The sequence below is a fragment of the Homo sapiens genome, chromosome 11 (genome assembly GCF_000001405.40).
Source record: "Homo sapiens chromosome 11, GRCh38.p14 Primary Assembly".
Classification (NCBI taxonomy): domain Eukaryota; kingdom Metazoa; phylum Chordata; class Mammalia; order Primates; family Hominidae; genus Homo; species Homo sapiens.
The window spans coordinates 43,449,764-43,468,070 of NC_000011.10; the positions used below are offsets into that span (position 1 = coordinate 43,449,764).

The 18,307-nt window shown below is 37.4% G+C and overlaps 1 protein-coding gene and 1 pseudogene across 10 annotated transcripts in view; both read left to right on the plus strand.

Moving 5' to 3' along the window:
* The window catches only part of TTC17 (tetratricopeptide repeat domain 17), a 136,012-nt gene that overhangs the window by 90,844 nt on the left and 26,861 nt on the right, over positions 1-18,307 (plus strand). For 9 of the 10 annotated variants that reach the window (NR_164823.1, NM_001376525.1, NM_018259.6 and 6 more), the window contains 2 exons: positions 319-478; positions 1,419-1,502. Coding sequence is in view for 8 of the 10 variants with exons in the window: in NM_001376525.1 (NP_001363454.1) it covers positions 319-478; positions 1,419-1,502 (244 nt within the window). In the remaining 2 variants the exon portion in view is untranslated. Of the gene's footprint in view, positions 1-318; positions 479-1,418; positions 1,503-17,471; positions 17,633-18,307 lie in introns of all 10 variants that reach the window. The other variant, NR_164824.1, reaches the window with a different exon arrangement.
* Positions 16,629-17,108, plus strand: PPIAP41 (peptidylprolyl isomerase A pseudogene 41; annotated as a pseudogene).

Sequence of the window (18,307 nt, forward strand, 5' to 3'; positions counted from 1 at the left end):
AAATACAATGTACGGCTGTATCTCTATAAGATTTACTGTCTAAGCTTTAGGTAACTTTTTCTGTGGGGAGGAATGTGCTGCTGTGCATAAAAGAAAACTAAAAGATATAACTAGTTGTGGGTATTTATCACCACTTATATCTTGGAAGAAGAAATCCTAGAAGAAAACTTACTTCGTTTAAAATCAGGGGATAGCATGTTGAAGCTATGATGAGCTGATTGTTAATGCTGTCTCTCCTTGATTGTTAATGCTGTCTCTCTTCTCTTCCCACCCACTCAAAAATTTCCCATAGCTAATGTGGTAATCTCCATTTTTCAGCATCACAGAACACATAGATTTTGCCACCCCTATACAGCAGCCAGCAATGGAGCCTCTTTGCAATGGCAATCTCCCCACGAGTATGCATACCCTGGACCACTTGCATGGGGTTTCCAACCGAGCCAGCCTGCACTACACAGGGGAGAGTCAGTTAACAGAGGTGAGTGCTCGGCTTTGTTCAGGCTGTTTTTTAGCCTCACAGTTAGGATGCACATTGATACTACATAGAAAGCCCAGGTGACCGGGCCTTTTAAAAAAAAATAGGGGCTTTTTTCAGTTAGGCATCACCTAGGTGGGTTTGGGCCAAGCCTGATTTCTTTCAGGCCCTGGGACTGAGCTTATTATTCTTTTTTTCTTTATGACCATGGAATTTTAATTCTGATTTACCCCTCAAGGGGGGTAGTTCTGCCTTGCCATCAAATACCAACTCTTGAGAAAAATGTATGGGGCAGTTAATTCTCCTGTTGACATTTTTAAGAAGGAAGGGTAAGGAAAGCAGACCCAATATATACCTAGCAAAGCATATACCTAGAAGAATTGGAAAAACACATCACAAGTATCCAACAGTAGAGGATTGGTTAAATAAATTTTGGTTAGATGTAAGATAGTATACAGTGGCACCATTAGAAAATATATAGAAATATTCTTATTGACCTGAATAAATTTTCACAATATATAATGTGAAAACATAGGTAACAGTATACAGTGTAATTCAATATTTTGTGAGAAAAAAATGTACATAGAAAAATATCTGAAAGACATATAAAGGTATTAAAAGTGGTTGTTAATACCTCTCTATATGTCTTTACATGTCTGAATGACAAGATTACACATAGTTTATTTCATTTACTCTGTGTTCTAGTGTTGCTATAATGAATGTGTTTTACATTCTGTAATTTTTGTTAAATGTGGGAGAGCTGAGGGGATGATAAAACAGCCTTAAATGTGTCTTCCATAGATTACCTTACCAATAGGACCACAGCATGTATCCCAGAAAAACAGTTTGCCTCTGTGGTACAGTGCCCAACTCAGCATTAGCAGTATCATCTAGATCCTGCATCGTTTTCATTCTTCTAATCTACTATCTTCCTTCCTTCCAGGTATTACAAAATCTCGGCAAAGACCAATATCCACAACAGTCGCTTGAACAGATTGGCACCCGAATTGCCAAAGTTTTGGAAAAGGTAAGTCACCCCACAGAAAAGCTGGAAACAATTGCCCTCCTTCTAACTTCTTTTCTAAGTTATTTGCTCCTAAGTGTCTGTAACCTCTTCTGTTAGTTACTTAGCACTTGGTGGCTAAAAGGATAATGTGAAATAACTCCCCTCAGAATGTTTCAGTCGCTTTTTCTATCACTTGGGTAATATTCTTTTCTGTCTCTTTGCCTGCTTTCTGTGGTGAAACTTACCTAGTCAGTTTTCTCTTCTTTACCCCAGTATGTGTGTATAGAGGTGGTAGTATTGGAAACCATGGAATCTAGGTATATGAAATAAGTCAGATATTCTTCTGATGGTGAAGAATATTTGGTATTTTGGATGATGGATGGGAAACACACTTTGAAATGTCTTTTCTCTTGAAATCATGAAACAAAATATTTACCAAATTGCATTTTCGTAGAGCCTACAGAAAATATCATTGAGAGGTTCTAAGACTCCTTTTCTTCCTCTGTGTGATATTTGTGTAAAGAGGAGGGGTTTTTTAATTTAATTTTATTACTTTATGGCTAAGAATCTCTCTACTTTATTACTGTATAATATTAAAGAGCTAATTTAACATAGTCATTTAAACAATCAACCCAACTTCAAGTATGAATGCGACACTGTGAGATAGCAACTTCCTTCATCTTCCGAGTATCGCACATGGAAAAATCATCAGCAGACTCCAGTTATAATGAAACTAGGGCAAACACATGATCCCCAGACTTCAAAAAAAGTAAGGATTGCCAAAAGTGGTTATGATCCACACAAAAAACATACAGGATGAATTGTAGCAGAATTCAGGCAGGGTTAGCAATTTCAGAAAACGTCAGCAAAATTCTACTACCTGAAGGAACTTTCTACAGGTAGCCCAACCAGGAAAATCCTGAGTAATAAAAACAGAGCAGACACAGCACTGATACAAAAATAAAAGAAAACCGGTCGGGCCCGGTGGCTCACACCTGTAATCCCAGCACTTTGGAAGGCCAAGGCAGGTGGATCACTTGAGGACAGGGGTTCAAGACCAGCCTGGCCAACATGGTGAAACCCCATCTCTACTAAAAATACAAAAATCAGCCGGGTGCGGTGGCACGCACCTGTAATCCCAGCTACTTGAGAGAGTGAGGCAGGAGAATCAGTGCTAACCCAGGAGGCGGAGGTTGCAGTGAGCCAAGATCGCGCCACTGCACTCCAGCCTGGGTGACAGAGTGAGACTCTGTCTCAATAAATAATGAATGAATGAATGAATGAATGAGTGAATGAATGAAAACCATAGGAAAAAGCAGCAAAACTTACTAAAGAACACACAGCAGGAAAATATTGTAATGGAACACATTATAATTCAGACTGAACTTTTCTCCATGGATTAAAATATTAGGCCAGGCACAGTGGCTCATGCCTGTAATCCCAGCACTTTGGTGGACAAGGCAGGAGGATCATTTGAGCCCAGGAGTTTGAGCCAGCCTGGGCAACATAGCGAGACCCTATCTCTACAAAAAAATTAAAATGCTCACACACACCTGTAGTCTCAGCTACTTGAGAGATTGAGGTGGAAGGATCGCTTGAGCCCAGAAAGTTGAGGTTGCAGTAAGCTATGATCATGCCACTGCACTCCAGCCTGGGCAACAGAGTGAGACCCTGTCTCAAAAAGAAAAAAAAATTCGCCTGCATAAATAAAGATCACAAAGCAAAAATATAAAAACACAGGAGAAAGATTAGCAATGGATATAAAAACAGGAGATAGAAAACTGAAATATATTAAACTTGAGTGCCAGGCCAAACAGGTCAGTAGTAGAAAAATTTTGTCACAGAACTGACGACAAAATTGGAAGGAGCAGCAAGAGGAATACATCACAAACACAGAAAGGGACATAGAGGACAGAAGTGACAAGTGACGAAAATAAGAGAGTTAAAGAAAAATTGAAGATAACATGTTAGAAACATATTTTAAGCTCTAGATTCAAATAAATAAGATTTGAGTCTTATTCTATTTCTATAAAATATATTTTGTTAAAAGGGTGCACTGTGTGCCATAGAAAACTGATCCAGAACAGTCAACAGCAGTGCTTATTGAAGCAAAATTACTCCATCTTGGAAGAAAAAAAAAAGAGAGAAAGAAAGAAAATATAATCAGATTTTTCAACAGCAACTCTTGATTCCAGAAGACAATGGAGTAACATATTTAGAATACTTAAAGAATAAAAAAAGAGGAGCTATGGATTTTATATGCTACCAAACTGACCATCAATATAGAGTCCACAGACAAATTGCCATTAACATGTAACAAATATTGTTTCCATGAGCCCCTTCTTGAGAAGACTGTCTAGAGATAAGCTTCAGACAGCCAAAATGACCAGAGCAGCATTGGTATAAGGGACTAGTAGCAAGCATTATATATTTGTCTATAGAGCCAAGACTGAATAATGGCTCTAAGAGAGGCAAGACAGTATCGTATGTTATGGAAGCTCCTCAGCTTACCATGGGGTTACATCCTGATAAACCATTGTTAAGTTGAAAATACCATAGGTCGAAATGCATTTAGTACACCTAACCTACCAAACATTATAGCTTAGCCTAGCCTTTTTTAAATGTGTTCAGAACACTTATATTAGCCTACAGTTGGGTAAAATCATCTGGCAGCACAGTATATTATAGAGTATCAGCTGTTTACCCTTGTGATCATGTGGCTGACTGGCAGCTACAGCTCGCAAGAGTGTTGTACTGCTTTCTACTGTATACCCATTGCTTTCACATTGTCATAAAGTTGAAAAATCCTAAGTTGGGGATTGTTTGAGCTCTGAAAATGTAGGTATAGTACAATTATCAAAAAATGGTGAGAGAATAGGAGAATATATGAAAGGTAAAATAAGCTCACTGATTACTTAATAGATACTGGTTGGGAATTAAAGAATGGTACTTCAAATTAAATGCTGGTGGAGAGGAAAGGTAGAAATGTAAGAAAAGGTTATCAGGTAATTTCCATACTGTTCATAGTAGGGGACCAACAGAATATAGCCCAAAAAAAGTATGAAGGAAGGGAGAGTAATGGTATTATATAAAGGCCTTACTCTATAGATACAATACAAGCCTTCCTAAATACCAAAAGATAACCTGAAAATAGTATGCAAATAAGATAGACAATATAGTAAAAGAATACACATGTACACATATTAAACAGATGGATTCAAGGGACCAAGGACAAACAATTATATCCATAATTGCAAATGTTCTTACCTTAACTATTAAAAGAACAATATTTTCAAATTGTTTAACAAAGCATAGCCAAACATTATGCTGTATTCGAGAAATATCCAAATAAAATTTAACAAGATTTAAGATAAAAATAAAAGAATGGATAAAGCATACAAGGCAAATGCAAATAAGAGAGCAAAGTTTATGATCTCCATACCTAACAAGGAAAAACTTAGATCAAAAAGCTTGACATGACAAAGAAATATACTTTAAAATGCTAAAGACTACAGTTTACAATAAATTTGTAATAATAATTAGTATTTATGTATCCAGAAACAAATGTCATAAAGCAGAGACTCAGGGAGATTCAGAGAAACAGATTAAAATATACCACATAATACCAGACAAAAAATTAATAAGGATATAAAGACCTAAATAGCATAATCAGTAAGGTAGATCTTATTAGATATATCAAACTCTGAACTTTGATTATAGAAAATACATCTTTTTGTCATTTGAACATAGAATATTCATTCATGAAAATTATATCAGAGCAGTGAACAAATTCCAAGGAAGAAAATAAAAGTAGCATTTTCTGGCCAGAATGCAAAAAATAATAATAATAATAATAATAACTAACAATATAAAAGCCCTCCTACCTGGAAATTCTAAAACATGTCATTTAAACAGCTGAGTCAAAGAGAAAATAAGAAATTTAGAATTTCTTGAAGATACATGAAAACAAAATAACAGTCTGTAGAACAGACTAAAACAGTTTTCAGAGAAATTTGCATAGCATTAAGTACTGTGTCAGTAAAAATGAAAAATAAGAAGAAAAGATATAAACACCCAAAACCAGGATGAAAAAATAAACTAAAAGCAAAAGAATTAACAAAGAAAAAGGATGCATTAATTATACAGAAAATCAGTAGAAACAATGCATCCAAAAGTTGAGTTTGAGGTATATATCAATAAAATGGATACATCATTAGCTAACCTAATAAAGGAAAAGGAGATTGCCAAAATAAAATTCGAAAGGCAGGGGGACATGACCATAAAAATAGGAAGCTTAGAGAATCAGACTACTTTAACCAAAACATATAATTTATTCAAATAGGTTTGAAAACTTAGGTGAAATAATATTTTTTAGAAAACTACAATGCAGAAAAAATGCTGCACTGTAGTTTTCTAAAAATATTATTTCTCAGTAGAAACAGCATCTAAATCAGAAAGATTGCCATAGAAGAAATGGAAAAAATAGTTAATTCCAACCAAAAAGCACACTAGGCCCAGATACTTCACAGAGGACTTTTACAAACCGTTAAAGACCAAAAATTTCCAATGCTGCTATATTTCAGAGTATCAAAAAAAGAAAATGTATTTTACAAAGAAAACATATCATTGTTCCCCAAATCTGAAAAAAATGACACCAAAAAATAAAACTACTAACCTATTTCTCTTGTTAACAATTCAAAAGTAGTAAAATAGTAGCAAACATAATCTAACAGCATATTTTGAAAAATACATCATGACTAAAAGGCTATTCTAGGAATACTGAATTGATTTACTATTTGGAAACCGTTAATATCCTTCATATTGATAGAGGGGAAAAAATCATATAATTATATCCAGACTTGTGCAAACATTGGATATATTCAGTACCAACTTAGTTTAAGAACCCTAAGAATTGATACTTTTCTTAGCACAATAACACACACACACACACACACACACACACACACACCACTTAGCAGAAAAGCCAGGACCTTACTAGGCGCCTTCTAAATGCTTTTCCACTGAAGTCAAGAACCAGACAAGAATGTCCACTCTATCTACTACTACTCAACATGAGTTTGAATGTATTAATATAGACAAAGGCATTCAGACTGCCTACTGTATCTAATAAAATCATATGTCTGGAAAACCCAAAAGAATCCATGGAAAAGCAACTACAAAGAATACAAGAATTTAGTCAAATAACATTAAAAGTTAATACACCTGTAAAAGTAATATTCCAGTTAGGATGTAGTAGGTCAAGGCAGGTCAGTGCATTACAGTAACTTGAATGAACCAGATAAACTTCTAAAATCATGTTTTTAAAGCTATCACAAAACTAGGCAAGCAACAAGATATGAAAGAACTAAATTGCTAGTGACAGAAGAACCTTTCCAAAGTGAGCTGGTGATTGCCAGCTGTGTCTCCCTGCCTATGCCCCCAGCACTTGTTGATTCAGGGTGTGAGCTAAGAACTGGCCTTAGCGTAGGGAGAAAGCCATTACTGAGGAAAAAGAGAAAGAAGTAAAGCTTTTAGCAGTTGTTCCAGGTGGAATTAACAGATTGGAAATCAAACACATGACCAGTTTTTTTTCCAAGGAGCATTTCGATTAGAACTAAGGCCACACAGGAGTCTGGGGGATTAGGCTCAAAACTTAGGAACGGTAGAGTGAAATCTCTCCATCTCACACTGCTTAGGAAATAAGGAGATGCTGGGTAACAGAGCCAGCCATAAGCATATGGCTTTTTCCCCTCAGGACTTTCATCTTAATACTACTTGGATGGGAGACTGAAGTGAGCTGGGGATCTCTAACAGGAAAAAGTCTTTTGGGCTGAGGAGACAAACACCTACCTACTAGACACCTGAGGTCATTCCTGTTCCTCAGTTGTGGCACTCTGGGGATTCTGATTAGATCTAGATTAGTTCCTTATCTAGCATTAGGTCTAGATTAGTTCCTAATCAGAATTCCTGGAGTGCCACAGCAGAGGAACAGGAATGACCCAGACAGATTGAGTCTTGCCAAACTGTATGCCCCAACTTAACATTATCAGGCAGGAATGAGTTGATCAGTCTTACGACCTCTTTGCCTAATAGAATTAAGGGAAAAACTGCCCTGATGAAGTATAATATCTGGAGCCGCTGTGATTCTTTTATACAGAAAGACCAGAATACAATTTTTAGAAAAAAATACTAGATATGCAAAGAAGCAAGAATGTATGGTTGATAATAAGGCAAAGTGCAGACAATAGGAGTAGATTTACAGATAATAGAGATATTATACTCAGTGGACAAGGACTTTAAGATAACTACAATTAATATATTCACAAAAATAAGGGAAAAGATGAAGAAAGTAGATGAAAAAAGTACCTTTTCACCAGAGAACTAAAAACTACTTTAAAAATCAGATAAGCATTCTAGAACTTAAAAGTACAGTAATGAAAACTCATTGAATGGGTTTAATAACAGATTGAACAGAGCACAGCCCAGAATTGGTGAACTAGAAAAATATACAGACAGAACCACAGAGAAAATAAGGGAGTGTGGGGATTGATAAGAGCATAAGAAACGTGATGGAAAAACTCCAAAGATCTAACATACATATAATTAGGGTCTGGGAGATAGAGAAGTAACAGAATCGGGCAGAAGTGATATTTGAAGAAATGGGCTAGAATGTTCCAAAATGGATGAAAGGTAGCCTACAGATTCTAGAAGCTCAGCAGACCCCAAGCAGAATAGGTACAATGAAAAGCACATCTAGGAAAATTAAAAGCTTAAGAGCCAGGAGGAAAAATATTATTTCTGTATCAGTTACCTATTGTTACAAACAAACAAATGGCTGTTTACTATTACAGAACTTAACAGCCACTTATTTGTTTGTAATTCTGCTGTCTGGGCTGGGCTCAGCCGGGCACTTCTTCTGCTGATCTCACGTGAAGTCACTTATGTTGCTGGGGCTACACACACAAGAGCTCTTGACTCTCATGTTTGGTGCCTCTGGGGAAGCCTGGAAGAGTGGGAGCTGTCCAGGCTCCATCTCTACATGGTCTCTTAAGTACCATGTGATCCCTCCAAGTCCATCTGGTCTCTCCAGCTCCCCATGGTCTCTCTGGCACAGTAATAAGCACGTGATGGGTCAGGGCTTCAGAAGGGTGAAAAACAGAATCTGCCTGGCTTCTCAAAGCCTAGAAACTCATAGAGCATCATTTCAACTGCATTCTTGTTGGTCAGAGCCAGTCATCACAAAGCCAGCTGAGATTCAAGGAAACAGATAGAACTTCACTTCTTGATAAGACATGGGTGAAGAGGAGGGCAGATAGAATTTTAGGGCATCTCTCATTTGCCTGAGTCTTCCTACTGGCTCACATTGCTTAAATTCCTCCGACATGCAAAATGACACCCACCCCAAGAACCCCACAGTCCCATCCAATTATGGCATCAGGCTCAGAGTCTACTTGTGTACAGTAGTTCCCCCTCAACTGTGGTTTCGCTTTCCACAGTTTTCAGTTACCCACAGTCAACTGAGGTTCAAAAATAGATGAGTACAGTATTAATAAGACATTTTGAGGTAGAGAAAGATGCAGACCACATCCACACAACTTCTATTACAGTGTATTATTTTAATTGTTCTGTTTTATTATTATTAATCTCTTACTGTGTCTAATTTATAAATTAAACTTTATCATGGGTATGTATATAGGAAAAAATAATAGTTTGTATAAGGTTCGAATAGTTTGTATAAGGTTCGGTACTATCCACAGTTTCAGGCATACACCGGGGGTCTTGGAACATATTCCCCTCAGATAAGAGAGAATTCCTGTGTATGGAAGAGACTCCTCAGATACAGCTTCTCTTCAACTGTAAACCTATGAATTAAAAAAAAGTTATTGGTCCTATCCACCCCCGCACATACAACCTACATTGTTATGGCAAGGATACGATGTCACATGAATTGACTAAGTTTACAAGAGAGGAAATTGAAGGCATGTAGCAATCCCATGGCAGTTGTGAAATCCATCTGCCTATATGTCACCAATTCCCCCAATTCCAGGGGTAGGGAACATTTGATTAGTCTACTTTGGTTCTCTGAAGTTGGCTCCCTTTTCTTTTTCTCAGTTCTTGACTTTTTTCTTTGAGCTGTCTTTCCTTTTCCATGAGAAATGTCCTCTTTTTGTAGCTTTCTCAGCCTGCTTCTAGGCTCTGTCCCAACTGGCACAGTTATCCACACTGGCACAACTTCTTTAAAAAGCTTTGTGGACTTTCAAATTATAAACCACTCACTCCACCAGAGAGAAGCCACACCCACAAATTTCTTCAAGAAGTCCTCTATGTACTTTGAATGTCAATCAGGGAATGATACCCTTTAGAGTCATATATGTCTTTTGTCTACCTGAGAGCGTCAGCTAGACACTGGCTTAAATCTTTCTGAAGTACAGGTGGTCGTCCACTTATGATGGTTCAACTTAGAATTCTTTTACTTTAGGATGGTATGAAAGCTATATGCATTCAGTAGCAACCATACTTCAAGTACCCATACAACCATTCTATTTTTTACATTCAGTACAGTATTCAGTAAATCATGAAATATTCAGCACTTCATTATAAAATAGGCTTTGTGTTAGATTACTTTGTTCAATATAACATAATGCAAGTGTTCTGAGCACATTTAAGCAATGACAGGTTAAGCTATGATGTATGGTAGGTTACGTGTACTATTCAACTTAATATTTTCAGCTTACGATGGGTTTATCAAGACATAACCCCATTGTAAGTCAGGGAGCATCTGTAGTAGTAACAAGGTTGTATTGCATGTGCTTTATTTTATCTTGATCCTCAGACCATAATCTTACAGTTAACACCCTGGATTTTTTTTTTTTTAACTTCAGAACCTTTTGCTGAAGAAGCTGGTAACGAGAAAGTTTTATTTTGTAACCCTGCAAGTCCCAGGTTGAAAGTATTTTCCTCTAAATTCTGCTTGAAACTGAGCAGTTCCTTGTTTAGTTCTTCTCTCTTTTAATACCTTTCTACAGGTGTTTTTTGAAAAATTGCTTATCACTTTCAGCATTTTTCCTGGAAACCTTAGCCAGATCTATAACTTCAATAGGTACTTTTTCTATCTTCCAAGATACTGTCTCACTTGTTTTGTCAGTAGATTACATGGCTTCTGTCCAGCCTGAAATACCAATTTCCTCAGTGGTTTTCCAGCCTCCGTTAGTAGTCTCTTTGCTGCTCTTCCACCAAATGTCTATAACCCAGTCCCCAAACTAGTGCTACATGTCTTAAGTTTCTGTCATGGCAATGCCCTGTTTAAATACCAAATACTATTTCAGTTATCTTTTTCTGCCTAACAAATCACCCCAAAATTTACTACCTTAAAACAAAACTATTCTTTGCTTAAGATTCTACTGTCTGAACTGGACTCAGCTGGGCATTTCTTCTGGTCTCACCTGGAGTCATTTATGCAACTGCAGACATGTGGGGACTCCACCAAAGATGGCTTTACTCAAATGTCTGGGGCCTCAACTGGGGTGGCTGCATTAGCTCTGGCACAGCTGCAGTTCCCTCTCCAGCAGGGTCCTGGGCCATTTCACATGATGACTGAGGGCTCCAAGAGGGTGAAAGCAGAAGCATCTGGGCTAGGCCTCTTAGAGCCTGTGCATAAAACTGAAACAGCACTACTTCATCCATGCTGCCTTTCAAAGCAAGTCCCGGGGCCTGCTCAAAATTACAGGCAGGGAAAATATCCTCTACCTGATGGTAGTGACAAAGAATATGTGTCCCATCGTTAATTCACCAGTTGCCTTCACAGTTGCAACAATGAGACTGTTAGCTTTTAAACAGAAATGATAAAAACTAGAAGCCGGCCGGGCGCGGTGGCTCACGCCTGTAATCCCAGCACTTTGGGAGGCCGAGGCGGGTGGATCAGGAGGTCAGGAGATTGAGACCGTCCTGGCTAACAAGGTGAAACCCCGCCTCTACTAAAAATACAAAAAATTAGCCGGGCGCAGTGGCGGGCGCCTGTAGTCCCGGCTACTCGGGAGGCTGAGGCAGGAGAATGGCGTGAACCCGGGAAGCGGAGCTTGCAGTGAGCCGAGATTGCGCCACTGCAGTCCGCAGTCCGGCCTGGGCGACAGAGCGAAACTCCGTCTCAAAAAAAAAAAAAAAAAAAAAAAAAACTAGAAGCCATTGTAACAACATGTTTAAAGTGCTAGAATAAGAAAACTGCAGGCTTAGAATTCTAAACCAGCCAAAATGTTCTTAAAAGATTAAGGCAAAACAAATATGTGTTCAAACAAACAAAAACAGAGACAATTTGGCACCAGTAGGCCTGCACTGAAAAAGTAAAGGAAGTTTATCAGGAAAATAATCCAAGATAGAAATATGGACTTGGAAGAAAGAATGAAGAACACTGGGAAACATATGTAAATGAATAGTAACTGTACAAAATAATAATGGTACACCCTGAGGAGTTTCAATTTTATGTACTGTATATCTAAAATTCATGGTAGCAATAACTTAAATGATGAGAGGGAAGCAAATAGAGTTTAAAAGTCCTAAGGCTTAATTGGTATCAGCCAAGTAGTAAAAGTAATAATTTGCATTGGCCTTAATAAGTAAAAAAGCATGTTTTAAACTCTAGGCTAACAACTAAAAATTATTTTTAAATGTAACTTAATAGAAGGAAAATGGAATCATGTAGAACATTTGATTAATCCAAAGGAAGTCAAGGGAAGATAAAGGTACATAAAAGTAGAGCACAAATAGTACAATGGCGAATATAGACCCAAGCACATCAGTAGTTACATGGAGGAAGACTGTGTAACTTAAGAATTAAATGTAGGCTAGATTAAAAAAAAAAAAAAAACGGCTATATAACTATACCCTTGTCAGAAAAAGTAAACTTTATAATAAGAAGCATTACTGGAGTTAAAGTGGAATATTTTATAACACTAAAGGGATCTGTGGCAGGCTGAATAGTGCCCCCCTACAAAGATATCCACGTTCTAATCCCTGGAACCTGTGAAAACTATATACATACACAGTATGGAAAGAAGAGGACTTTGCAGATAAAATTGAGGATCTGGAGATGGAGCGATTATCCTGGATTATCCAGTTGGGTCCTAAAGCCAATCACATGTATTCTTATAAAGAAGGAGACAGAGACTTAATCCTGAAGAGTAGAAGGCTGTGTGACAATAGAGGCAGAGTTATGCAGCCACAAGCCAAGGAATGCCAGCAGCCACGAGAAACCAGAAGAGGGAAGTAACAGATTCTCTAGATCCTCTGAAGGGAGCACAGCCCTGCTGACACATTGACTTTGACCCAATGATATTGATTTTGGACCTCCTGCCTTAAGAGCTGTGAAGGAATAGATTTTTATTGTTTTAAACCACCAAGTATGTGTTAATTTGTCACAGTAGCTATAGGAAAGTAATATAGATTTAATTCACAAGGTAGGTATGTTCTGTAAACTGTATGCACCAAAGAACATAATCTAAAATATATAAGGTAAACATTGACATAACTGGCAGAAGAAATAGACATATTCCCAATCAAAGTAGATTTGAATAAAATTATAATAACTGATAGCAGTTATTATTGTAGCAGACCAAAAACACCACAATTACAAACTGAACCTAGCTGCCATATGTAAGCACTGAATCCAGCAGTGACAAAATTCTTTTTTTTTTTTGAGACAGAGTCTCACTCTATTGCCCAGGCTGAAGTGCAGTGGTGCTATCTTGGCTCACTGCAACCTCTGCCTCCCAGGTTCAAGTGATTCTCCTGCCTCAGCCTCCCAAGTAGCTGGGACTACAGGCGTGCGCCACCACACCCAGGAATTTTTGTATGTTTTAATAGAGACGGGGTTTCACCATATTGGCCAGGCTGGTCTCAAACTCCTGACCTCATGATCCACCCGCCTCAGCCTCACAAATTGCTGGGATTACAGCTGTAAGCCACCGTGCCCGGCCCAAAATTCATTCTTTTACATGCACAAGGAAGGAACATTTATCATATGTGAACACTTAACATATGACTGAGCCATAAAAAAGGCCTTAACAAATTTCCAAAGATTTAAATTTCTTAGCATGGAAATGGATATTGACCAATACAGATTAAGCCAGAAATCATACAAAATAAAAATAGCTTACAAAATAAAAATAGCATACAAAATAAAAATATCATACAAAAATAAATAGCTTTCATATATACAATTTAAAAAAACAGAAGTTGTAAGAGAATTTTAAAAGAAAATACCTTAGGCAATTTTTTTTTTAATCTCCAAAATTTAAAACTCTTCTGAAAAATACAAAACTAGGCTTGAACAAATGGAAAGACTTAACCATGTTCTTGCATGTGAAGTCTCAGCATCATATAATATCAGTTCTCTTAAGTTAGTTTGTCATTTTAATGCAATAACAATAAAAATGCCATGTTATTTTCTGGTGCCAGGCAAGCTATTAATAATTGTTTAAGTTTATCTCAAAGAAGAAACAATCAAGAATAATTAGAGAAACTGAAAAAAAGAACAGTGGGAGAAGAGGAGGATTTAACCTAGAAGACATTAAACATACATGAAGCCTTTAATTAATGTAGTTTGATATTGCTGCATGAATGCACAAACCAATGGGAAAGAATAAAAGACTAATTGCATATGGCAATTTCGAATACTGTAAAGGCAGCATCTCATCAGTGAAAGGAAATGTATGTTTTAATGCTAAATAGGGGAAAAGATAAAATTATATCCATTCCACGGGGCGTGGTGGCTCCTGCCTATAATCCCAGCACTTTGGGAGGCTGAGGCGGGTGGATCACCTGAGGTCAGGAGTTCAAGACCAGCCTGGCCAACATGATGAAACTCCATCTGTACTAAAAATACAAAAAAAAATTAGCTGGGCGTGGTGGTGCACGCCTGTAATGCCGGGTACTCGGGAGGGTGGGGCAGAAGAATCGCTTGAACCTGGGAGGCAGAGGTTGCAGTGAGCTGAGATCATGCTGCTGCACTCCAGCTTGGGCGATAGAGTGAGACTCCATCTCAAAAAAAAAAAAAAAATTACATCCATTCCTTCTACTACACACCAAGATAAATTTTAAGTGGATCAGAGATTAAAATAAATGTAACAAAATGACTTCATACAAGTACAAATAAAATGCATGGGAATTTCCCTGTAACTTGGATGTAGGGAAAATTTCCTAATAGACTCAAAATTCATACACACTAAGGAAAAAGATGAATAACTAACTTTTTTTAAAAAAACTTGCATTTCAAACAGGCGCAATGAACAAAATGAAAAGCTGGGAACAGTATTTTCAAATTATATTACAGATAAAGGGATTTTAAACCTAATTTCTAAGGAGCTTTTACAGGGAAGGAAGAAGGTCAACAATCTTAGAAAAATGGACTAGATGCAGCAGAAAAGAAAATGAAAGCAGAAAATTATGGAAAATTGTCAAACGGAATTATAAAGAGGAAAAAAATGGAAATGCAAGCTTTTTTTTTTAAAGAGAGAATGATCTGCTACAATACAGGAGGCTGATCTGGGCAGAGAAACCAACAGCCTTTAAAAGTCATGCAGGGCTAGAGAAATAAGATTGGATACTAGAAAGGCTAAGGTCCTGCTGAGAAGGGAAGGACAGAGATGTGAGCCTAGTACCCTTCACAATACATTGGCAAATTCTGAAGCTACAAAGCACAAGAGACCAGAAAGCCAAGTAGAAAGCTATGAAAAACCATTTTTAGGAAGCTAGTATTAGAGTTCAAGACCCAGCAGTGAGGACAAGAGGCTTTTGGTGACTGTCTGGGGATTTCATTTGGAAAGTCTGGAGATTGGTGCCTTTTAAGAAGGGACAAAACTAAGGGTAAGTGAACTTTGGTTCTAGGAATGGCAAGACCAGCAAGAAGATCACCATTGCCAACTGTAGCCTTTACACAATGTCATAGCAGCCCAAATTCAGTCAGCTATTGAATTAAGTTTATTGTCTACTTGCCAAGCTAAAGAATGTATGAATGCTGTCTTTAGAAGATAACATCATATGGAGGTTCTACAACTTCTTAGACACAATGTCAAGCTTTTAGTAAAATTATACTAGACATTCAAGAGATGGGATTGAAAACCAAGAGAAAGGGCAGACAATAGAAATATACTCACAGATGATTCAGGCAGTGGAGTTAAGACCAGGACTTGAAATAACAATGATAATTGTTCAAGAAAATAGAAGACAGGGAGAAAATAAATAAAAGGGAAATTTCCCCCCAGATAATTGGAACTTGTGGGGGATAAAAAGAATCAAATGGATATTCTAGAGCTGAGAATTGCAATAACTGAAATTAAGAACTCAATTGATGGGTATAAAATCAAATTAGACAATGGCGAGCCCAAAAATAAACCCTCATGTATATAATCAAATAATTTTCCACACGGGTACCAAGACCATTCAATGGGGAAAAGATGGTCTCTTCAAAAAGTGGTGTTAGGGAAACTGTATATTCATATGCAAAAGAATGAAGTTGGACCCTTACCTTATATCATAGGCAAAAGTTAACTCAAAATGGTCCAAAGACCTAAGTGTAAGACCTAAAACTGTACAACTCTTGGAAGAAAACAGAGGAAAAAAGCATTAAGACAATATATGTATTTCTTGGATATGACACCAAAAGCACAGGCAACAAATGTAAAAATAGACAAAGTGGACTATATTAAAGTTTAAAACTTCTGGGCATCAGAGGACACAATTAACAGAGTGAAAAGACAGCCTACAGACTAGGAGAAAATATTTGCAAGTCATACATCTAATAAAGGGTTAATATTTCCAAATTATATAAACAACTTGTACAAATTAAAAACAAAATAACCCAATTAAAAAATATACAAAGGACTTGAATGGTCATTTCTCCAAAGATGATATGCAAACAGCCAACAAGCATATGCAAATATGCTCAATACCACAAATCATCAGGAAAATGCAAATCAAACCACAACGAGATATCATGTCACACCAATTAGGATGGCCACTATTAAAAACATAAAATTAATAAGCATTGGCAAGGATGTAGAAATTAGAACACCTGTGCACTGTTGGTGGGAATATAAAATGATGCAGCTGGCTTTGCAGACACTGCTGTCCCCCAACACCCCCTGTCACTAGGCCATGGTCATCCCGACTGTGCCCTTCAACATCACCATCAACAGCAAGCCCTTAGGACACATCTCCTTTCAGCTATTTGCAGACAAATTTCCAAAGACAGGAGAAAACTTTCACACTCTGAACAATAAAGACAAAGGATTTGGTTCCTGCTTTCACAGAATTATTCCGGAGTTTATATGCCAGGGTGATGACTTCACACCCCATAATGGCATTGGTGGCAAGTCCATCTACGGGGATAAATTTGATGATAAGAACTTTATTGTGAAGCATACAGGTCTTGGCATCTTGTCCATGGCAAATGCTGCACCCAAAACAAATGAGTCCCAGTTTTTCATCTGCACTGCCATGGCCAAATGGTGGGATGGCAAGCATGTGATCTTTGGCAGGGTGAAAGAGGGCATGAATATTGTGGAAGCCATGGAATGCTTTGGGTCCAGGAATGGCAAGACAAGCAAGATCGCCATTGCCAACTGCAGACAACTCTGATAAATTTGACTTGTGTTTTATCTTAACCACCAGACCTTTCCTTTTGTAGCTCAGGAGAGCACCGTTCCACCCCATTCGCTCACAATATCCTATAATATTTGTGCTCTCACTGCAGTTCTTTGAGTTCTATATTTTCATTATGTCCCTCCACGTATAGCTGGATTGCAGAGTTAAGTTTATGATTATGAAATAAAAACTAACAAAAAAAAATGATGCAGCCACTATGGAAAACAGTATCACAGTTTCTCAAATAATTAAACATTGAATTACTATATGATTCAGCAGTTCCACTCCTGGATATATATCCAAAAGAATTGAAAGCAGAATTCCAAAGAAATATTTGCACATCCATGTTCATAGCTATACCATTCACAGTAGCCAAGAGGTGGAAGCCATCTGTGTGCCCATCCACAGATGAATGGATAAACAAAATATGGGATATACACACTATGAATACAGCCTTAAAAAGGAAGGAAATTCCAACACATGCTACAACATGGAGGAATCTTGAGGAATTAACGGTAAGTGAAATAAGCCAGTCACAAAAAGGCCAATACTGAATGATTCCACTTATGTGAGGTATCTAGAGTAGTCATATTCATAGAGACAGAAAATAGAATGATTGTTGCCAGCAACTGGGAGGAAGGGGGTGTGAAAAGTTGTTTAATGGATATTGAGTTTGTTTTCCCAGACGAAGAAGTTCTGAAGGTTGGTTACATGATGTGAATATACTAAACACTACTGAACTGTGTACTTAGAATGGTTAAGATAAATTTTATGCGTTTTCACTACAATAACAAGTAGAACAGTAGAACAGATGATTAGTCACAGCAGAAAAGATGAAAGATAGGTCAAAACAGGTTATTAGAAAATATCCAAACTGAAGATGAAGAAGAAAATCATTTTTAGTAGAAAATATCCAAACTGATATATAAAGACATAAAGGAATTTGTGGAGGCAGAGGGGAGATAAGGCAATAAAGGACATGTGGGACACATCCAAAAAAAAAAAAAATCCAACATACAGAATCCCAGGAGAAGAGGAGAGAGAACAAGGCAGGAGCAAGGTTTGAAGAGGTAATGGCTCAGAATTTATTTCCTAAGAATTATGAAAGACATTATTTCACAGACTCAAAGTGTGTGATCCACAGATTTAAATACAAAGAAGCCTTACTAGAATATCATAGCAAATTGCCA